General features: G+C 39.1%; 1 long non-coding RNA gene across 1 annotated transcript in view; it reads right to left on the bottom strand.

The window, feature by feature from the left end:
• Window positions 1–24,002, bottom strand: part of LINC00504 (long intergenic non-protein coding RNA 504) — a 417,705-nt gene that overhangs the window by 228,431 nt on the left and 165,272 nt on the right. Inside the window, exon 3 of the long non-coding RNA NR_126435.1 lies at window positions 1,848–1,886. This is a non-coding gene — a long non-coding RNA (long intergenic non-protein coding RNA 504). The remainder of the gene's footprint in view (window positions 1–1,847; window positions 1,887–24,002) is intronic.

Raw genomic sequence — 24,002 nt, forward strand, 5'->3', positions numbered from 1 at the left:
TTTAGCCACGATACAATACACATATGCTTTTAAAATCCTCTCTAACAGCTAGTGAGACTTCAGCCTGAGACAAATTCATAAATATGTATTTTATAACTTGTTTGGTGGGACATTACAAAATGAAGCTAGCTTTATCTATCAGTTATTCAATCAATGGAAATAGAATACTTTCACAATACAGGCTGCTCCTGCTCTAAGGCTGCTGATGTTGGGGGGCTCCTTCTCTAAGGCTGTTGATGTTTGGAGGCTTCTCCCTCAGACTCCTGTTACCTCTAGAGAAGGGGATTACATGTCCATGGACACACTGACAAAAGTATTCAAAGACCAAACCAAAGAAAGTCTTCATCTTGCCATACACTAGAGCTCTCCTTGGCTACAACACTGAGTTAGGACTCCACTTACACAGTTTTTCCATACCTAGTTGAGCATTTTTTCATTATATTAACCTTGAAATAAGTGAGGACTAGTTTTTATTAACCCATGCATTCCTTCAATAAATAAGTCATTCAGTACCTACCCTATGCCAGTAAAATAAAACAGAAGAACCTAAAGAAGTTTAGTGACTTGACTGATGTCACACACTTGAAATGCAGGAGAGTTGGAACTCACACATACAGCCAGCTCTGTTGGTCTGTTCCCAACATGTCCTCTGGCCACAACAGCACTCACTTGTTTCTGTCATAATGATGTAGGATGCAGGAGCATGGATGAAGCTGGAAGCCATCATTCTCAGCAAACTACCACAGGAACAGAAAACCAAACACTGCATGTTCTCACTCATAAGTGGGAGTTGAACAATGAGAACACATGGACATAGGGAGGGGAACATCGCACACTGGGGCCATTCGGGGGCTGGGGGCAAGAGGAGGGAGAGCATTATGACAAATACCTGATGCATGTGGGGCTTAAAACCTAGATGACGGGTTGATAGGTGCAGCAAACCAGCATGGCACATGTGTACCTATATAACAAACCTGCATGTCCTGCACATGTATCCCAGAACTTAAAGCAAAATAAATAAATGAATAAATAACTTTCTGAAATTAGAAAAATAAATGCAACCTCAAGGGGAGCAATGACAGTTAGAATTAGTTCTGAAAGACAAATGATGCCTTGTTGTTCTAACGGGTTTTGCTTAGGACTGTAATTGTCAGGGAAGTACAGAGATGTGTACCAATCCCAATACTCAACACTTGATGACCCCACACTGTGCAATGGGGAGGCACTGACTCATTACCTAATTACATCCAACAGTCTTCAGATTGCCCAGTGGCTTGTGTTGATATTTTTGTTTGTAATTTTAAGTCTGCTATGAACTACTGCTCTTAAGTATACTTTCCAAATATGCCCTCTCAGAAACATCTCCAAATGATTGAAGGAAAAACAAACACCACCACTTATTTCAAGGTCTTTCCCATACTGTATTCCCAGTACTTGCAACCAGCTATACTAGCCACTAATTCATTTATTCAACAAATGTTGATAGATCACACTTTCTACCTGGGGGGCACAATCAGGATGAAATTGATTTCCACTGGGCAAGAATAACTCTCAATCACTCCCCCTTGTGTCACATGCATCACTCAGCACCTTCTCTCAGTCTTTGCTATAAACTGCCTTTAATTTCTGTTGCAAAGTCCTCACAAAAACACGTTTGGCTATTTCCAGATCTTGTACAGCTTTTGGCATACACGGCTACATTGACCAACTGAACAGGCATGGAGAAAAAAACAACCACTAAAGAAAGGACTCTTGAACCCATAGCATGGAAAGGTGTTGATGAGTGACTGTGAGCGTGGGCTGTGGAGCCAGGCTGCATGGATTTGAAACTTGGCTCTACCACTCACCAGCTGTGTGTGATCCCAGGCACACCCACTTCACTTCACCTGTAAAAGAAGGATAATAATAGCAATTATCTCACAGGACTATTGAAGGAATGACAAGAGCTAACATAGGTAAAAAGCTTAGAACAGTAGCTGACATTTGGTAAGCACTCAATAAATGTTAGCTATCATTATTATAAAGAATATTGAATATTTTCATCCAAATTCTATATATCTTTATATAGGATGTGAATTCACTTTTCATAGTAAATTTGAAAAAAAACTGTCTTATAAAATCTTCCATATCAGCTACCTTTGGGGGAGTAATTCCAAAGCCATTATCATAAACATGGGCTATTGTTTTATAATCAGGGCAAGAAGAAACAAATGTTGTTTTTAAAACTTAGATTTAAAACATGAATTAGTTTTGTTATTCTGACTCCTTCACCTCCCCATCGTGGTAAGTACAATTTGTTAATTCCTTTCCGTGTTTCTGTGCTAAGCTTTCTTTCCACTCTGATTACTCTTGGCTAGTTCTCGACCCAGACTGTCTATATTTGCAATCTGGTTCTTCTACATCTTGTCTATGAGAGCTTGGAGATGTATTTTACTCTCTGTCAATCAGTATCCTCTTATCAAATGGGAAAATAAGTTGGACCTACCTCTTAGTATTGTTAAGCTGGCACAATACTGGGCAAAGATAGGTTCCCAATGAATTCTAGCTATGACTGTTACCCTGAGATTTCAGGACAATATCTGACCTCATAGCTGTTCACTGAACACTTTTTGATGTTATGTTCTATGAGCAGCAGGAGCAATGACTCGGTGCTAGGACAGTGCAGGATGGGTAGCAAAGAATGCAAAGTGTTCCATGAAGCCAGAATATGTGTCACTCCAGACATGAAAGCCAAAACCCTCTTCCAGATGTTGAAGCACTCCTGCTCCAAGTCATTGCCAAAAAGCCAGGCCTCTCCACTTTGCTTGGCAATGAAGACCAATAATCCACCTTAATTTGGAAAATTCCACTCACGTTCCTGGTCTCTGGCTTTCCACATGTCCCCACAAGGTTTTATGCCAGCTCTGAGTTCCAAATGTTGAGGAGGAAGAAAGGAGGGAATGGAAAAAAAAAATAGGTAGAGGAAAGGTCGGAAATTTAAACTGAATTATTTGGTAATGGAAATTCCCTTTCAAGTCTCTTTCATTCTTTATTTGGATTCCATTGAGTGTGGGCCAAAAGAGAAAAAGGAAAGGTTAAATTCTCCTATCAGATCTGGCAAAGAATCTCAGCCAAGCAGCTTAAGGGACAGATTAGCTTGCCTGCAAAGCAAAAGTGTTGATACACAAGATGCCAGCAGGCTGCACAGACCCCTCCTTAGAGGCCTTGGCATCCACTGGCCCTGGGAGGGGCTTGCAGGAGGAAATTGGCCCATAGGCAATAGCTTGATCCTCAAGAAAGTGCAAAACATTCTCTCTGCCCAGGGGTAGAAGGAGGCTTTAGATATTCTCACCTTAACTAGTCGGATCTGCTTCCCTTTGAAGAATAAACTTTCATATCCTCCCCCCAGAGAAATACTCACAAGATTTTGCCCCCAACCTAGGGTTTCATGGACCTCAGCTATCCCACCCACAGACCTTGAACCCCTGTCTTATGAGATCCCCGACCTCTTTGAGAACATCTTACTAAAAGCCTTTCTATTTTTCACAGGCCTCTTTCCATCAGCCTTCACTAGAGTCAAAACCCTTCTTTTTAAACTAAGATCAGATCCAAAATTCAAAACATGTCTGGCTGTGGCCTGATGTGTCTGTGTTTAATTCAAAAAAAAAACTGGCAAGTTTAGTGGGGAAAAATAACCCGAAAAACCGATCCTTGGAGTAAATACTGAGCCCTACTATTATCTCCTGGAGTAAATATTGGTCTCTACTTTTAGCTCCTGCAGTCCTGGACTGGGTGTTAGGAAAGTCACTCAGCATTTCAGAGTTTTCAATTTTCTCATGAATAAAATGGGAATTTATTAGTCACCTGTCAACCTCTTCAGGTTTTTGTCAGGTTACATTTCCTGTTTGTCAAAGTGATTCTCCAATGATAAAAGAAACTATGAAATATGAAAGTTTAATGAGCAGCTATCACATGACAGACCCTGAAGATGGGGACATAGGTTCCTCCTTCCCTGAAGGGGCTCCCACGGAGTGGGGAGGTGGCTGAGGAAGGCAATGACCACAGTTCATTATGAGAAAGCATTCTGATAAAGGCTTGAAGAGGCCTTCCAGGGAGGATTCCATGCCTTCTGAGACAATCAGGAGACACTTCCTAAGGGAGAGAAGCATCTGAACTGTTCCCACTAGGGCAGTGAGAGGAGCCAGCTGGGAAAAGGAGGGACAAGATATTTCCATCAAGGGAATCAGCATGCTCAAACTTAAAGAGGAGAAGTGTAATAATAATGACTGCATGATATGGTTTGGCTGTGTCCCCAGCCAAATCTCATCTTGACTTGTAGCTCCTATAATTCCCATGTGTCATGGAGGGATCCAGTGGGAGGTAAATGAATCAGGGGGGTAGGTCTGTCCCATGCTGTTCTCATGATAGTAAATAAGTTTCCTGAGATCTGATGGTTTTACAAAGGGCCTCTCCTGCACACACTCTCTTGCCTGCCACCATGTAAGATATGACTCTGCTCCTCATTTGCCTGCCCCCATGATTGGGAGGCCTCCCCCAGCCATGTGGAACTGTGAGTCCATTAAACCTCTTTCCTTTATAAATTACCCAGTTTCAGGTATGTCTTTATTAGCAGCATGAGAGCAGACTAATACCCTGCGTATTTCAGCTCAGGCTGCTGATACGGACATGAGTGCTTACTGTGATGCTGGGAGTCTTGAATTAAAACACAAATACTGAAAGGACATTTCAGGGTCACGAAGTGGGGCTGAGGAGGAGAGAGTAGGGAACAAGTCCCCTCTCCAGTCTCCTCACCACCCTGAAAAAAGGCAGAGCTTGGCTGTTGAGAATATCGATTCTCTCTACTCCCATGTTTCCCTGTGTCCCCATGTCCATGGTTCTATTTAGGGGAGATGCTACAAAAGGCCACACTTCCTCAGTGTGTCAGATTCTTCCACCTGCCTTTAGACTCTCCAAATTTCAGATTAGAGGACATTTTTAGTTCTTCAAGGTCTTTGGGATCGAGCTCTTAAGCAAGGGACCCGGGTGTACATCAAGAAAGCTGAGCCTGCTTTCTGGCAGAGGAAAGCAAGCCTGTCATTCATGTGAAGAGCATCCCCTAAATGATCATGTGTCTACGTGCATGCAAACACTGGGGATTTAACAAAACCAAAGAAAAGTATTTGGAAGCCCCTTGCCAAATACTTTTCTCATTAAATGTTAAGTGTGTTTGTGTTTTAAAGGGAAATGTAATCCGTATGTTTCTGATGGACTTAGATTTAATATATCCAAATGCTTCATAGTAATGTCTACCATCCAAGAAGTTCTTGGAACTTGGATTTTAGTCTGAAATCCTCCTCAAAAATAGAAAGCTATAGATATTTTCTAAGAGAAGGAAGAGCATGAAGCAGGTGGGACAAACTTCAGTTTTTTGTTTAATGCATGGAAAAATAAATCTCCCTAAAACAAACTCATCTGTGACAGTTCTCACCTGCCCTTTCTCTTTGGCATTCACAGTTACCTTATTCATTGGGAAGTTGACCTCATATCTCACTGTCTAGGACAGTCCCAGTTAATGCCACTTGTCCCAAAATCATTGTCTACAGTGCCCATTTTTATTCTCCAAATATCCTGGTATGAATAAGAAATGATGTGATCACCCTAGATAGGGCAGAACTCTGACATGCCCATTCTCTCCTTCCTTCCCCTTTGAGATAGCCCGAATACAAATGTAACACAAGCCACAAATTCAAGCTACATATGTGACTTAACATTTTCTAGTAGCTATATTAAAAATAGTAAAAATGAACAGGCAAAATCAATTTAAATATATTTCATTTAACTGAATATATCTAAAATATTATCATTTCTAAATATAATCAACATAAAATATTAACAAAATATTTTACATTACTCTATTTATACTGTCTTTGAAACTTATGATGCATCTCAGATTGGACTTACTATATGCCATAACCACATACCACAATTGTCTACTGTACTGGACTGTGCAGTTCTGCTATGAATGTCTTCCATGTCAAGCTTTTTTACCCCATCTATGGTTAGTAGTTAAATTCATTTACAATGAGTTCCTGTACTTGTATCTTAGTATGTAAAGTGAAGATTTTCAAAGACTGGCTTTAAAACCCATCATCTTTCCATGGCCTTAATAACAGGAATAAAATCTAGTTTCACACTCAAATCCCAGGAATAACTTTGTATTCAAGGTGGTATCTTGTCTCCCCTTGAAATACTGAAATCCATTATTTTCATGGGGTAGCCAGACACATAGCAATGCAATTTTTAAGTGAGGAAGAATATATTGGCTATTTCAATATTTCACATTAACCTCAGTATACAATCAACAAAGGTTGTTTGCTCTTATTTTTATGTTCTTCTTGTCTGCCACCCTTTAGTGTCCTTTTAGGTCAATAAGATTCTTGGATTTTTTTTGTTTTTGAAGCCCTGCCCTAGGGCCTCTGCCATGCCTGCAAATATTAGACTCCTAGTCATTGTCCTAGGAAGGTATTTGGGCTCTGACTTCAACTCTCACTTGTTTAGGAACTCTCTGGCAGGGATTTCCTCCCCAACCATTGGGCCTGAAACATCAAAGGCCATTCACTGACATCTGCTACTGGAAATGATGGACTTTCTCCAAAAGTGCCATATTTGATTAGTGATACATTCAATTCTCATTTAAATTGAAGTTGTCACTTCCTTGTCACACTGGGCTCCTAAAAGGCCATGTTCACATATGTCCATGTGCATGAACACACACACACACACACACACACACACACGGTTAGTAATTAATGCATTTGTGTATTCTTTTCTTCTCTCTCCCTGCTTGTATTTCTTCCTTTCTACCTTTTTAGCATTTGCCACTAAGGCTGACATATAATATGTACCTGATATGGTTTGGCTGTGTTCCCACACAAATCTCATCTTGAATTGTAATCCCCATAATCCTCACGTGTCAAGGGAGGGACCCAGTGGGAGGTGATTGGATCGTGCGGGCAGTTTCCCCCATGCCGTTCTCATGATAGTAAGTTCTCATGAGATCTGATGGTTTTATAAGTGTTTGACAGTTCCTCCTTCACATGCTCACACTCTTACCTGCCAGCTTGTGAAGAAGGTGCCTGCTTCCCCTTCTGCCATGATTGTAAGTTTCCTGAGGCCATGTGGAACTGTAAGTCAATTAAACCTCCTTTGTTTATAAATTACCCAGTCTCTGGTAGTATCTTTATAGCAGTGTGAGAATGGACTAATACAGTACCCAATAAATAGTTCTTAGCTAACTGATATATCTGACAAATTTTAATAAAAAGCAAGAGGTTTTAAAATTTAAAAATACTCATAACTAAACATTTAAATACGTTAAAAGGCAGCTTTATAATTCCAGATGTCACTACAAACCAACTCAACAGGCTCAAGCCATTTCTAATCTGGGAAAGTCTAAAATAAAGCTAATTCTGTTAGCTTTTTAATGGGACAAAAATTACGGTTACTGTGAAAACTTTAACTTAGAACTCTCAGACTTGAGGATAATTAAAGTCACAGCTTGAACACTACAGAAATAACTATTTCAATTTAATTTACTATTGCATACAATGTAAGGGCTGATTACTTTCCCCTCAGCATTTTGGACTTTGATATAACTTCCTTTTTGTGAGTTAAATTTACTTAAGTGTCAATATTTTGCAATTCAAAGTACCAATTAACTTTATGTGTGTTTTTTCCCCTTTAAAAAAAGCAGCATTCAACAAAATTGTAAATGTTCTCTTGTTTTGCTTCTATCACACACTTTGGGCTTGAGTTGTATTTTGGAAATGTTTGTGTCAGGATAAGGCAAACTCAGGGTGTTCCTAGGTCAAAAGCTCTAATCATCAAATAAATTCATCACCACATTGGTTTTATTCTTGGACACTCACCCCTTTTACCTAAGAATGTAGTATAGCATATTCAAAAGAACAGGTGGTCTACAGAATACTGGGATTTGAAACCTAGATTTCTATGAGATGTTGGGCGAGATATTTTAACTTCTCTTAATCTCTCCAAATAATAATAATAATAATACCTATTGAATGCTTATATGCTAGGTACTGTTCCTGGTAATTTTCAAATGTTATCTCATATAATAATCATTAAAAATCCCATCTCTCCATTTTGAAGATAAAAAAATGAAGCTTAAAAAAGTTAAATAACATGCTCAGAATCACACAGCTAGTACAGAATAAAATCTGGATTCCCAACTCATCCAACAGTTTCAGTTCCACTGCTTTTAATCCCTACTACTTGGATTCTGTAAACTGATGGTGGCACCATTGTTAAGACACAGACTGGGAGACTTGATGCAGGGCATGCATCTGGCTCAAGCTTACTGTTGTCAGTGGACCATAGGTGCCCAGAGCTCTAACTCATCCTCTGTTTGACCTGTCAACCTAACATGAGTGACACAGAGATCAACTCTCCAAAACAAAGAGTTTATTCAGGAAGAATAAGGGATTGCATTTCTGGATATGTGTGCTACGGCAGACCATAGGCATATCTGAGAAGGCATAAGCAAGGGAAGCTTTTTTAAACTGTTTAATTTTTTTTTAGAGATGGGGTCTTGCTCTGTCAGCCAGGCTGGAGTGCAGCAGAACAATCATAGATAAAAGTAGATTCGACCTCCCAGGCTGAAGCGATCCTCCCACCTCAGCCTCCCAAATAGTTGGGATTACAGTGTGAGCCACTGTGCCCAAGGGGAAGCTTTTAAAGGCAAGACCATTGTTTACAGGAGATTTTCAAAGTCGCTGGTGTTGGTTCATTGGTGGTGCTAGCTGTTGATAGGTGAAGGCCTTCATAAAAGAGGCTTAACTGGAAAGTTCTGGTTGGGAAAGTCCTTTGTGGCAGTTCCTGTTACTGTCATACCTGTGTGAGGGCCCTTCCTTCATGGCCTCCCAGTTCCATTTTCTTAGGGTTTGACATGAGTGACTCCATCTTTGTACTGATAATTTTCACAGACCTGAGAGAGAATCACCCCAAACTGTCATGTTTATACCTTTCTATGTGGCCCAAATTTATACAATCCTGCAAAATAAATACTGAACCAGCCAGTAGGAGCAATCTGCTTACCAGGCAATCCTTCTGGAAACCTTGCAGGCTACAAGTCCCAAGACAGCCCTGTAGGCACAAGTCCTAGAGCGACTCACAACATCTGGTCGACTCCACATAAGGTTCAGAGTTCCCCAGGGGGCATCTCAACCAGTTAGCATAGCCAGACCCGGAGACAGGGGCTCCAAAACTCAGTCATCTCTGATGCTGGGAAGACCAGGACCTCCTGTTTCCCAGATCAAAAGACAGTATTGTTAACAGTCCGATCTTCTAACCAGGTGGACGAAGTTGAGCCGAGAGAAGCAGAGAAGAACAATGAAAAGACCGTCTCATCAGCTTTCACATTCCCAGAGACCAGACTGGACCCCTGCCCTCTATATTAGATGAACTATTTTAGTGTCCTTCCACACAAAACTTGCCTATTTTGATTAAGCAAATTCAAGACAGATACCTGTGTCTAAAATCAAAAGAATTTTTAAGAATGTACCAATGAACAATTTCATTCTTGTTATTTATCCTGGGACTGGCTTCCATAAAAAATTCATAGAGCAGAAGCTAATCGACTTGAAAGTTAGAACACTGGGAACAGTTTCCCATCTGCCCCTTATGAATTTCATGACTGTCAGGAAGTTATTTCATCTTTCTTGCTCAGTTTATTCACCCCATTTAAAATTGCAAACACACACATTCCAGAAGTCCCTACCTTCCTTCCCCACTTGATTTTCCCCATAATAATTTTTATTTCTAATATATTAACTTATTTTTAATAATATTTTATTTTATTATTTTATTTATTTTATTTCTAATATTTTTGGATATAAATTTCTAATTATTTTATTTCTAATATTTTAACTTATTTATTCATTTTGTTAATTGTTCCCCCCCTATATGCAAGTTCCATATAGATGCTTCTGAATCTCCCTGGTCCAGAATAGAATATAATACATAAGAATTCAATAGATATTTCTGGCAGTTGTTGTTGAATATATTATGTGATTTGATTATACCGTATCAGTGGTTGCCCTCTTGAGATCCTATGAACTCTGTGAGTTCATGAAGATAGTATTAGACAAGCCTCAGGCTAATTTGAATATGACTGAAAGCATAATGGAGATAACACATTTTAACCATCACTATGTTCCTCCAGCTAACATATCTAACATCTTATTACACAAGAGAATTTAATGCTTCTTAAAATTGCGTTTATTATTACTTTTCACTATTTTCATTAATTATCTATGTCTTTTGTTAATAAAAAATGATAATGTTATTAGTTTGACCAAAAGTCATAACAAGAGACAATGGAAGAAAGAGCTACAAAATAAATCTTTGGCGTGTGACAATTCTCAAGTTAATCTTCTCAAGCCATATTTTGTTACCTTAAAAATAAGTGTGGTATAAGATAGCACATATAAATAGCCTAACATGTACTTAATAAATACTAGCTCCTTTTTTTCTTTCACATGGTAGAGAAATAACTCTTTTCCAATCCTAGAATCCAGGATTCTTTGTTGTTGGAGCTGCACAAGCTGAGATGTGTAAGTGCAGTTTAAGACCAGAATTTCAAAAGATCATATTGTCCACTTAAGAGCTCTTTTAAAAAGTATAATAATAATAAAATAAAAAAAGTTCAACAAATAAATAAGGCTTAACAAATCTCTATTAAGCTATCATGAGTTCAATTCTTATTGAACTTATCGAACACTGCAAAATTGGCTCAGAAAAGACAGCAACATAGGTGAGAATAGTGCTTATATCTCTGATTCTCAGGAAAAGTAACCAGTGTGGGGCAATTCATTGAGTGGTTTATTTCTAGTTGCATAAGGAGAGACTGGGCAAAAGTGACAGACTGAGATAAAGTTTGAGAAGAAACAGAAAGAGGACACTGGAAGACAGAGTGACAGGGCAGGTAGATGACAAAAGCTAATTCCTTCCTTATGCTGAGGAGCCCCGTATCTGCATTAGCATTTGAGCAATAGAGGAATTAAACAAGCATATTCCCTCTTTCCCCCATTGGTTGCTAAGTGACACCCAGAAAAGAGGTCAGAAGAACACAACTTAAAATGGGAATCTTTTTAATTTCTCAACATTTCTCATGCTTCTTGAAAGTAGGAAGCTTTCACGGTTACCTTTGTCAAGAATCCCTGAGGCTATGCACGGGACATTAAACACAATAATAATAACTAGGAGCAATTCCTCTATGCCCAGATGTTACCTTAGATACTTTGCACATATTACCTTGTTTAGTTTTACCCTTCAAAAATTCCACAGTTTTCTAAATATTATTAGTTCCACTTTTAGGATGAGGAAGCTGAGCTTCAGAACAGCTAAGAGGTTTGATTAATCAAAGATAGGACAGGTTACATTAAATCAACAAACAGCCGCCAAATCTAAATGGTATTTTTTTACACAAAGTTCTTTCTGATTTGAATCCAAGGCACTCTCCAGAATAACTTTCCTCCATGTGGTGAGTTGAGACTCCAAGCTGATCACCATTTTGAATCTGCAATCTTAATGTGAGACCTCTTCAACAGCTATTTTGGCAGGAGAAGGAAAACAAGTGGAAGATCTCATACTGACAAATGCTTCAGCCCAGAAGTGGTAGGTGTCACTTCTGTTTACAGCCAATGGGCAGCAAAAAGCCCTCACTCAACTGTGATTACCCACAAGAGAAGAATTAGATATCAGTAAGTCCTAACAGAGGCTTCCCCAAGGCAACATAGGGAAAAGACAGAGTAGTAAAGACCCTATTTCAAGTGTTTTGATTCCAAATTCCTAGTTTATTGTTTTGTCAGCCAATTAAATAGGAAATTCCAAATGTATAAAAGAAAGATTCTCAAATATTGACAACATTTTAGAAACTGTACATGCTTAGGGAAGATTTAGGGCAAGTAAGAAGTTTCTTGCCACCTTAAATTATACTCTACTGTCAACCAAAAACAGATGTTTCTGGAACTACAGATGCTTCTGGAAGAGCCAAAAGGGAGAAGTCTATCACTCCTCAGTAATGCCATCATGGTCAGCTCAACACCACCCCAAATAAACAATCTAATGGTAAACATTACTAGTGTTAGTATTAGTATAGCCTGTATCTATTGAGCAATTGTGTCATAGCAAATGGTTTTGAAAATTCTTTTCACATATTGATTCATTTCATCCTTACAAGAGCCCAATGAATTAAGCATCACTATCAGCCTCGTTCTCATGTGAGAATAAAGGATGCAAGGATCAAGGGGTCAGGTAACCTAAGTTCAACCTGTAAGCCTGCTACACAAATACAGTTGAAGAAGCAGTCTCCGTCTTTGCCTTTTTACCAGATTGCTCTTTTTGGGTTCCTTGTGTATCCAGTTCTAGAGCTACCTCCATGCACAGTCATCTCTGGGTAGGACAAGTCAACACACCAAGTCTCAATAAGTCAGAGAAAGCAACTGGCCAGGTCCAGAGAGGTAGAAACTGAAGTTTAAAGCTTTGGCTAAATACCAGACACTCGGGTTACACAAACCAGCTCTCAGGACAACCCAGTGGAAAAAAGAACAGGAAGAAAAGAGCAAACATTTATGGAAACTTGTTAAACTAGCGAAGTGGGAGAGCTCAGCACTCTGTAGAGGATTCGGAACTCCAATGATACAATCCCAGCAGGTTCCTCCTTTTTACTTTTTATTAGCAGCACTGGTTGAGGCTCACTGTCAGCTGCAATAGGGCTTGTCTTCCCAGAGCATTCTCCTTCTCTGAACAGTTTTTTTTAATGGAAGAAAAAGCAAGAAAAAAATTTTTAAAAATTTGCTTAAAGAATTTACAAGTAAATTCTCCAAATATGAGAGCTTTTGAGTGATGAATAAGGACAAGTTATGAATCTTCTGTAGCCAGAACACTGAATTAGGAGCTTTAAGAATGTATGAGAAGGGACTCAGTATCTCAGCTTTCAATGTCCAGTAGTGTTAGGATTGAAAACAGCACTGGACTTAGATTTAAAAGATCAGATTTTTGGTTTGCTACCCATGGCACCACAAACAAATCAGTTAACCTCTGTGAGACTCATTACATTGTCTATTAATAGTGAAATATGCATCTCTTATCTCCTAGAATACATGGCATACATAAGAAACACAAAGATTTCATAATACCCCAGACCCTTTCTCTTACTTAACAGCCTCTGAAAGTGTGTCTCCTTCTCTTTTGAATGTCCTGTCCCATCCAGTCACCCTTCATATGGCTAATTGTATGAAAACACATATGATCCTGTATTGCAATGCCATTTTACGTGCCTGTTTCCCAACTCTGCTGTGAACTCCTTCACAACAGAGGATGGTGTCTGCTGTGAACTCCTTCACAGCAGAGGATGGTGTCTTGCTATGCATCATTGAATGACCAGCAAACATAGGGGTTGTGCTGAAAACGCACAGTGGGGACTTGTAATTCCAGAAATACTATGAACAAAACATCATAACACTGAAAATGCTGACTACAATATACACAAACTTCTCATTAAATTCATCAATGGACTGACAAAGAAGGAAAAATATGTAAAGGTCAAAACCTAAATGCACAAGGGTAACCCAGAAGGTTGAGCATAGCACTGAAGTCAGCTCGCATCCAGGGTTTGTTTACTGAGCTCCAGTGGTCTTGAGCACTAGTTAACAAGGAGACAATCCCCAAGGCTCACCCAAAGTAGGAAATCTGATAGGAGATTTCCCAAAGAGCTATGACTTTAATTTAAGACTGAACATAAAATGAATCTACCATCAAAATGATTACAAAAGGATGATCCTGTCACAAACTTTTACACCGTGTGGAAGACAAAAAGCTCTCTGAACATTCTTAATCATAAGTTGGCCTCCAATCAGGTTTATTGTTCCAAATCTCCATAGCTGGGTGAAAATTCCTATCTGAAGATTTGGTTTAGAGTATTCTCAAATTAGTGGAACAAATCTCCCCTGAAGGAATCAGGTCCAAATGAGGCCTCAAGTAATTCTTCAGATGAGGAATAAGAGGATAGAGCTCACTATCACCTCTTCCATTCAATATTTGTTGGGGGTCCCAACAAAATAAAATGGAATAAAAGTGATGAATAAAAACATTTCTAGAAAAAAAGAAAAATATTATTATTTATAGACTATATGATTATCCACACACAAAAAAACAAAATCAACAGATTAACCATTAGGCTCAATAGATATATTATCAGAAGTTCTTGATAAAATATGAAATATGAACAAACAGAAAATAGACTTTAAAAGAGAAACCATTTATACAATTAAGTATTTATGTCTGTTAGACGTAAATCTAACAGAAATGGGAAAGAGCTTTATGGAAAATATAAAACTTTATATTGAAAGTTATATATTGAAAAACATTAAAGAAGGACAAAATTTTAGAGAAGAGATATGTACATGGATAGGAAGACTCAATATTTATGACACTTCTTTCCAAATTTATTTATAAACCTATAAAGTCAATATAACTCTAAGAAATTTTAACAGGTTATTTTTAAGGAACTTGGCAAAATGACTTGAACATTTTATATGAAATAGCAACGCTCCAAGGACAGCCAAAACACTCCTGAGGAAGAACAGTTTGGGGTTTTATCTTTCACAATACCAGGCATTATTAGATGAGGGTAATTAAAGAAGGCTGGTGTTGGTGACAGAAAAATAAGTACAGAAGAAGGAAAAAGGTGGACAAAAACAGGACCACACATATATGGAAACCCGATTTATGACAGCCAGCACTGCAGATCAGTGGCAAAAGATGACCATTCAGCAAATAATCTTAGAGCAATTGGTTACTTATATGGACCAAAATAAAAATTAACCCCATCTCACACCACACATAAAATCAATTTCAGCTGGTTTAAATATTTAAATATGAAAATAAAAAATATAAAACTTCTAAAATATAATACAGGAGAATACCAGAATATCTTGATGACATCTGGGGAAGGAAGGGTTTATAAACAAGAAATAGACAGTATAAATCTTGAGAAAATGAATGATGTACTTTGTCAATGTTAAGAACATCTATGCATCCAAAGGCATAGTACAGAAACTGAAGTGACAAGTCACCAACCAAGAGAAGGTGTTTGGGAATATATCATGATGAAATTAGTATCCAGACTGTATATACATGTATATACAATTTATATTAATTGATAAAGACAAACAATTTAATAAAATAAAATGGGAATGTCCTAAATAAGCATCTCACAAAATTAGAAACTGTAATGACAAGTTTTAAAATATTCTTCACCTCTCTAGTAATCAAACTAATGCAAACTAAAACCACAAGGGGGGACAATTTTTTATCCAATAGATAGGCAAATATTAAAGACTAAGAATAACAAGTGTTGACAAGGATGTGAGGCAGACATTACCATGATAGACATGAGCTGGGATTGTAAATGGGCATAGCTACTTTGTGTAACAAGGCTACGGCATTATCTAGTTAGGTTGGAAATGTTCACATCCTGCAGCCCATCAGTTTCATTCTCTGATATCTACGCTGCAGAGAATTTTGCCCATGTATACCATCAATTTATATAATAATGTTACTAGAAGCACTTGTAGTAACACGAAAACAAATTTAAAGGAAGTAACTAAAATGCCTATTAAGAGTGAAATGGATAAGTGAATTCCTCCATATCTGTCCTCTTGCATAGTACTGAAAGAATTCATTACAGTTATGTGAACAACATGGATACATTTCAGAATACCACATTGAGCAAACAAAGCAAATAGCATAAGATCAATAGCAATGTGATTACATTAATATAAATGTCAAAAGCATGAGAACCCCCCCCAAAATTTATTGTTAACAAATGCAAACATAAATGGTATAACCATAAAGAAAGGCAAGGAAAGGCTCATCACAAAATTAAGAGTTGTGGTTGCCTCTGAAAGGAGAAGATGAGTGCTTTCATATGGTCGTCTTCACAGTATGGTGAGTGGATGGTTTATTTTGCTGTCATGTTATATAATGTATGCATTTTTCCAAACACCTCATGTTCTCACTCATAGGTGGGAATTGAACAATGAGAACACTTGGACACAGGAAGGGGAACATCACACACCCGGGCCTGTCATGGGGTGGGGGGAGGGGGAAGGGATAGCATTAGGAGATATACCTAATGTAAATGACGAATTAATGGGTGCAGCACACCAACATGGCACATGTATACATATGTAACAAACCTGCACGTTGTGCACATGTATCCTAGAACTTAAAGTATAATAAAAATAATAATGTATGCATTTTTATAATTAATATTAATATATATTTACTACATAATTATAATTAACAAGTTTTTTGATATTTAATATAAAAATTTAATGACACATTGGATAATGAATAAATTAATTACATACCTCCTTACATTGGAAATAATTAACTTATGAATTTCCCTTTACTAAGTATTTTGCTAATGCTACTAATAACTAATAATTACCAAACCATTGTTATGTAGCTGGAAATGAGTAACCAGTATTTATACATTATTTCTTTTAATCTTCTCAAACCTGTTTATATCTATGCCCGTTATATAAATGAGAAGACTATATGAGAAATTAAGTAAATTACCAAGGTTTCATAGGTATTGAAGCGGCCCTTGTTGGCGCCCTTGAGCTCACCAAGCTTTAGTTTTCAGTGTCTCATGCAACATTTAGATGCTTGGTACATGGTCAGTGGTCAATGTATTGGGAGCATAGTTTCTACTGCCAAGAAGCTTAAATAACCTCACTCAATGACCTCCTGAGATGAGGCTTGAGAAGGTGACCCCTGCAAGTTGCTGATAATTAGTGAAAATCAATAAGAAGGATGTTAACCATCTTGGGCACTATAAATAAGTCAACTCCAGGTGGGGAAGCAAAAAAACAAAACAAAAAAAAACAAACAAAAAAAAAACCAGAAACGTGTGGGTTTGTTTTGTTTTCTAAGAAGATTATTATTTAAAAACATACAAGACTGCCATTATGGGGAGGAGCAGAGGGAACCAGCAGGTATGGAGCAGTCCTTATGCATGACAGTCACTTTCTCTGTACTCTCTCATTTCATTTTCATACCCATCCTGCCATGGTATATTTTATTTCTTTCATAGGTAAGAAAACTGGGGCTCAGGCATTATTTCTGACTTACCCAAGCATGCCCATCTAGTAAGGAAGAGATCTGCATTTGAATCCAGGTCTGTCTTTCTCCAAAGCTGTCTTTACTCTGCCAGATCAAATCAAGAAAGAAACATCTTTGAGCCTCTGCTAGGTATCGGTCCCTCTGGTGGATACAGCATGGAGGGTGTGTGACATCTCATCCATATCAGCTTTGGTGTCAAATAAACTACATTCTGGAAATTTGATGCTTGATCTTTATACTTTTTATTTAGAAACTTATAATAATTAATAATAATAAGAAGAAAACCAATCTTACAAGATTGTCATAGTGAATCCAAAATAATATTAATTATAAAATTCTTGACAGCTAATAGGTGTTTATACAGGTTTGTGCTCTTACTCTTCCTACCTTTCTCTAGGTAGGAAATTAGTGAGCTGGGCTTCGATTTTCCACAGTAGCTGAGAGGGCTTTATGAACTGACTCCCCTCCTCTGGGGCTTCGTGTTCTCATCAGCACAAAGGGCAGTAGACCAGATGTCATTAGGAAGGACCAAGCCCCAAGGGCCACGGTGAATCAGGCTTCAAAAATGAGATGGCAAATATCCTCCATCATTCTATGAAGCAGTGTGAACAGAGAGCAGGGAAATGAATCTCATTCTATTCTTTTCTGAAACAACAGGAATACGAACCCTCACCACCCACCTCGCTGGGATCTGGGAAGGATTAATGAGACATAATATGCAGTGCTCCACTGAGAGCTATTACCATCTTATAGGGGGAAAATTCCCATTGTTGCCTGCAAACAAGACTGACAATTTGATGAGGTGTGAATATTTTTAGTGTAACAGTATGTAAACACTGCTTTTTTCATCCAAGTCATCACTGTGCACATACCCTTATGCATTTTTATGAGGCCATTTCTCTGCGGCTGTAAATAGTCTGTGCTTGCCCTTTTCCACGAGCTCGTAGAATGTGCCGACCAGGGGCCAGGCTGAACCTCTAAGCTGATTCCTAGGGCTGTCCACATCCTTTGGGAGAATGTTAATAGGCATATTCACATTTTGTACCAAAGTATATGCCTTCCTGCTGGCCTATACAAATTGCATCATGCAAGGACAGGGGCAAAAAAGGCCTCTGTTGGAGAAGGTTCAGCTATTTCATAGTGATAAATATGGAACGGCAACGTGATTACCAAAGCAGAAAAGCAGAAAAAAAGGCAGGATTCCTGATGCTAATTTCTGTTCCTGTCACACTTGCTTAGAAAGTCAGAAAAAAGCCTAAGTCTTCAAACCAATACCTTTTCAATAAAGAATTCCACCATTCATTCAAGAAGCATTAACTGGGCACTAGGTACTAGAGGCTGAGCCACGCACTAGGATATAAAAGTTAATACGACTTAGTTCTACCCTCCTGTGATTATATTTTAGTGAAGGAATTGACAAATAAATGACGACAATTCAGTGAAAAGTGTGCAATGCACAGATTTTCTTCCATCTTATCCCCCGTCCATCTAACCCCTAAAGCATCACCTTCCTCACAATACCCGATAAAGAGATGGTTTGTCTCATGTCTTTCCTGGAGGGATGTCCTTGGCAATTGTTTTTGCACGTTTGTTGTTGTTTTTGGTATTTTGTTTCGTTTTGTTTTGTTTTTTGAGACAGAGTCTTCCTCTGTCGCCCAGGCTGGAGTGCAGTGGTGCAATCTCAGCTCATTGCAACCTCCACCTCCCGGATTCAAAGGATTATCCTGCCTCAGCCTTCAGAGTAGCTGAGATTACAGGTGGACACCACCACACCTGGCTAATTTTTGTATTTTTAGTAGAGACGGAGTTTCACCATTTTGGCTAGACTGGTCTCGAACTCCTGACCTCAAGGGATCTGCCCACCTCAGCCTCCCAAGCTGCTGGAATTACAGAAGTGAGCCACCGTGCCCAGCCTGTTTCTGCATTTTGATATCTCTTTCCCAACCCTCTCTCTGCTGCTGGTTACATCTTAAATTCTAGGGCCATTACTGTCTGAGACCCTATTACTACACTGCCTGATAGGCCTGGGCAGTGGGGTGAATGAGGGGCAGGGCAGGGTTTTCTCTTTTGCCTCAACACTGCATTCCTTATGAAAGCACATTGCAAGGTGGTAACACATATCTCATACCACTGAGGGTGGCATGCATGGTGAGGTCAGAGTATATAAATCCATGCACTAAAAATAACAAATCCTGCCATATCCACCTCCAGAAGATCCCCAATCCAATCATTTCTTTACCCTTCCAGTAAGATCCCCCAATCCCAACAACTCATGATTATTTGTAATTTGGCTAAACCAATAGTTTCCTATTTCTCACACTCTACTCTTTTCCCCCACTCCCAAAATCAATTTCCCCTCAACAACCAGAACAACTTTTAAAATTATAAATTAGATCATATTCTGTATTATATAGGCCCTCCAATTCTTCTGTAACACTTAAAATCCAGAATCTTCACAATGGTCTTTAAGACCTGGTTCCTGCTGGTCTTTTCCAAACTCTCTCTTACTTCTCTCCCCCTTACTCTATGGATCCAAACTACATGGCCCTCTTTCTGTGCCCTAAAGATGTTCAGCTTGGAGGAAGAGCTCCCGCCTGTAGCTCCCAGCAAGACCAACGCAGAAGGCAGATGATTTCTGCATTTCCAACTTAGGTACCCAGTTCATCTCATTGGGGCTGGTTAGACAGTGGGTGTAGCGCAGGGAGGGCTAGCAGGAGGGTGGGGCATCAACTCATCTGGGAAGCACAGGGAGTCAGGGAACTGCCTCCCCTAACCAAGGGAAGTCATGAGGGACCTTGCTATGAAGGATGGTGCTATCTGGCCCAGATACTATGCTTTTCCTACGGTCTTCACAACCCACAACCCAGGAGATTCCCTCAGGTACCTACACCACAAGGGCCCTGAGTTTCAAGCACAAAACTGGGCAGCCGTTTGGGCAGACACCAAGCTAGCTGCAGGAGATATTTTTTTCCTATCCCAGTGGTGCCTGGAATGCCAGTGAGACAGAATCATTCACTCCCCTGGAAAGGAGGCTGAAGCCAGGGAGTCAAGTAGTCTTGCTCAGCGGAGCCCAACCCACAGAGCCCAGCAAGCTAAGATCCACTGGCTTGAAATTCTTGCTGCCAGCACAGCAGTCAGAAGTCAACCTGGGACACAGGAACTTGGTGGAGGGAGGAGAGTCAGCCATTACTGAGGCTTGAGTAAGTCGTTTTCCCCTCACAGTGTAAACAAAGCCTCCAGGAAGTTCAGACTGGGTGGAGTCCACCGCAGCACCATGAAGCCACTGTAGCCAGACTGCCTCCCTAGATTCCTCCTCTCTGGGCCAGGGATATCTGAAAGAAAGGCAGCAGCCCCAGTCAGAGGCTTATAGATAATGCTCCCATCTCCCTGGGACAGAGCACCTGGGAGAAGGGGCAGCTGTGGGTGCAGCTTCAGCAGACTTAAACATTCCTGCCTGCTGGCTCTGAAGAGAGGAGCAGATCTCCCAGCACAGTGGTCAAGCTCTGCTAAGTGGACCCCCAGCAAACTCCAGCAGACCTGTAGAAGAGGGGCTTGACTGTTAGAAGGAAAACTAACAAACAGAAAGGAATAGCATCAACATCAACAAAAAGGACAACCACACAAAAACTCCATCAGAAGGTCACTAACAGCAAAGACCACAGATAGATAAATCCATGAAGTTAAGGAAAAACCAGCACAAAAAGGCTAAAAATTCCAAAAACCAGAATGCCTCTTCTCCTCCAAAGGATCACAACTCCTCAACAGCAAGGGAACAAAACTGGACAGAGAATGAGTTTGATGAATTGACAGAAGCAAGCTTCAGAAGGTGGGTAATAACAAACTTCTCTGAGCTAAAGGATCATCTTCTAACCCATGGCAAGGAAGCTAAGAACCTTGATAAATGCTTACAGGAATTGCTAACTAGAATAATCAGTTTAGAGAAGAACATAAGTGACCTGACAGAGCTGAAAAATACAGCACGAGAATTTTGTGAAGCATACGCAAGTATAAATAGCCGAATTGATTAAGCAGAAGAAAGGATATCAGAGATTGAAGATCAACTGAATGAAATAAAGCATGTAGGCAAGATTAGGGAAAAAGAATGAAAAGGAACAAACAGAGACTCCAAGAAATATGGGATTATGTGAAAAGACCAAACCTACATTTGATTGGTGTACCTGAAAATGATGGGGAGAATGGAACCAAGTTGGAAAACACACTTCAGGATATTGTCCAGAGAACTTCCCCAATATAGCAAGACAGGCAAACATTCGAATTCAGGAAATACAGAGAACACCACAAAGATACTCCTCAAGAAGAACGACCCCAAGACACATGATTGTCAGATTCACCAAGGTTGAAATGAAGGAAAAATATTAAGGACAGCCAGACAGAAAGGTCAGCTTACCCACAAAGGGAAGCCCATCAGACTAACAGCAGATCTGTCTGCAGAAACCCTACAAGCCAGAAAAGAGCATGGGCCAATATTCAACATTCTTAAAGAAAAGAATTTTCAGTCAAGAATTTCATATCCAGCCAAACTAAGCTTCATAAGTGCAGGAGAAATAAAATATTTTACAAACAATAAAATGCTGAGAGATTTTGTCACCACCAGGCCGGCCTTACACGAGCTCCTGAAGGAAGCACTAAACATGGAAAGGAAAAACCAGTGCCAGCCACTTAAAAACAAATGAAAAAATACAGACCATTGACACTATGAAGAAACTGCAACAACTAATGGGCAAAATAACCAGCTAGCATCATGATGACAGGATCAAATTCACACATAACAATATTAACCTTAAATGTAAATGAGCTAAATGCCCCAATTAAAAGGCACAGACTGGCAAATTGGATAAAGAGTCAAGACCCATCAGTGTGCTGTATTCAGGAGACCCATCTCACCTGCAAAGATACACATGGGCTCAAAATAAAAGGATACAGGAAGATTTACCAAGCAAATGGAAAGAAAGAAAGCAGGGGTTGCAATCCTAGTCTCTAATAAAACAGACTTTAAACCAACAATGATCAAAAAAGACAAAGACGAGCATCACTTAATGGTAAAGGGATCAATGCAACAAGAAGAGCTAATTATCCTAAATATATATGCACCCAATACAGGAGCACCCAGATTCATAAAGCAAGTCCTTAGTGACCTACAAAGAGACTTAGACTCCCACACAATAACAGTGGGAGAATTTAACACCCCACTCTCAATATTAGATCAATGAGACAGAAAATTAACAAGGATATTCAGGACTTGAAATCAGCTCTGGACCAAGTGGGCCTAATAGACATCTGCAGAACTCTGTACCCCAAATCAACAGAATATACATTCTTCTCAGCACCACATAGCACTTATTCTAAAATTGGCCACGTAATTGGAAGTAAAACACTCCTCAGCAATTGCAAAAGATGGAAATCATAACAAACAGTCTCTCAGCCCCCAGTGCACTCAAATTAGAACTCTGGATTAAGAAAATCACTCAAAGCCGAACAACTACATGGAAGCTGAACAACCTGCTCCTGCAAGACTACCAGGTAAATAACGAAATTAGGGAAGAAATAAATAAGTTCTTTGAAATCAATGAGAACAAAGACACAACATACCAGAATCTCTGGGAAACAGCTAAAGCAGTGTTTAGAGGGAAATGTATAGCACTAAATGCCCACAGGAAAAAGCAGGAAAGATCTAAAATCAACACCCTAACATCACAATTAGAAGAACTAGAGAAGCAAGAGCAAACAGATTCAAAAGCTAACAGAAGACAAAAAATAACTAGGATCAGAGCAACTGAAGGACATAGAGACACGAAAACCATTCAAAAAATCAATGAATCCAGGAGCTAGTTTTTTGAAAAAATTAACAAAATAGATCGACTGCTAGCCAGACTAATAAAGAATAGAATAATCAAATAAACACAATAAAAAATGATAAAGGGGAGATCACCACTGATCCCACCGAAATACTAACTACCATCAGAGAATACTATAAACACCTCTATGCAAATAAACTAGAAAATCTAGAAGAAATGGATAAATTCCTGGACACAAACACCCTCCCAAGACTAAACCAGGAAGAAGTCAAATCCCTGAATAGACCAATAACGAGTTCTGAATTTGAGGTAGTAATTAACAGCCTACCAACAAAAAAAGCCCAGGACCAGATGGATGAACAGCCGAATTCTACCAGAGGTACAAAGAGGAGCTGGTACCATTTCTTCTGAAACTATTCCAAACAATAGAAAAAGAGGGACTCCTCCCTAACTCATATTATGAGACCAGCATCATTCTGATATCAAAACCTGGCAGAGACAAAACAAAAAAAGAAAGTTTCAGGCCAATATCCGTTGATGATGAACTTCAATGTGAAAATCCTCAATAAAATACTGCCAAACCAATTCCAGCAGCATATTAAAAAGCTTATCTACCACAATCAAGTCGGCTTCATCCCTGGGATGCAAGGCTGGTTCAACATATGCAAATCAGTAAATGTAATCCATCACATAAACAGAACCAATGACAAAAACCACATGATTATCTCAATAGATACAGAAAAGGTCTTTGATAAAATTCAACACCTCTTCATGCTAAAAACTCTCAATAAACTAGGTATCAATGGAACATATCTCAAAATAATCAGAGCTATTTATGACAAATCCATAGCCAATATCATACTGAATGGGCAAAAGCTGGAAGCATTCCCTTTGAAAACCAGCACAAGACAAGGATGCCATCTCTCACCACTCCTATTCAACATAGTATTGGAAGTTCTGGCCAGGGCAATCAGGCAAGAGAAAGAAATAAAGGGT

Source organism: Homo sapiens, chromosome 4, assembly GCF_000001405.40.
Source record: "Homo sapiens chromosome 4, GRCh38.p14 Primary Assembly".
Lineage (NCBI taxonomy): Eukaryota > Metazoa > Chordata > Mammalia > Primates > Hominidae > Homo > Homo sapiens.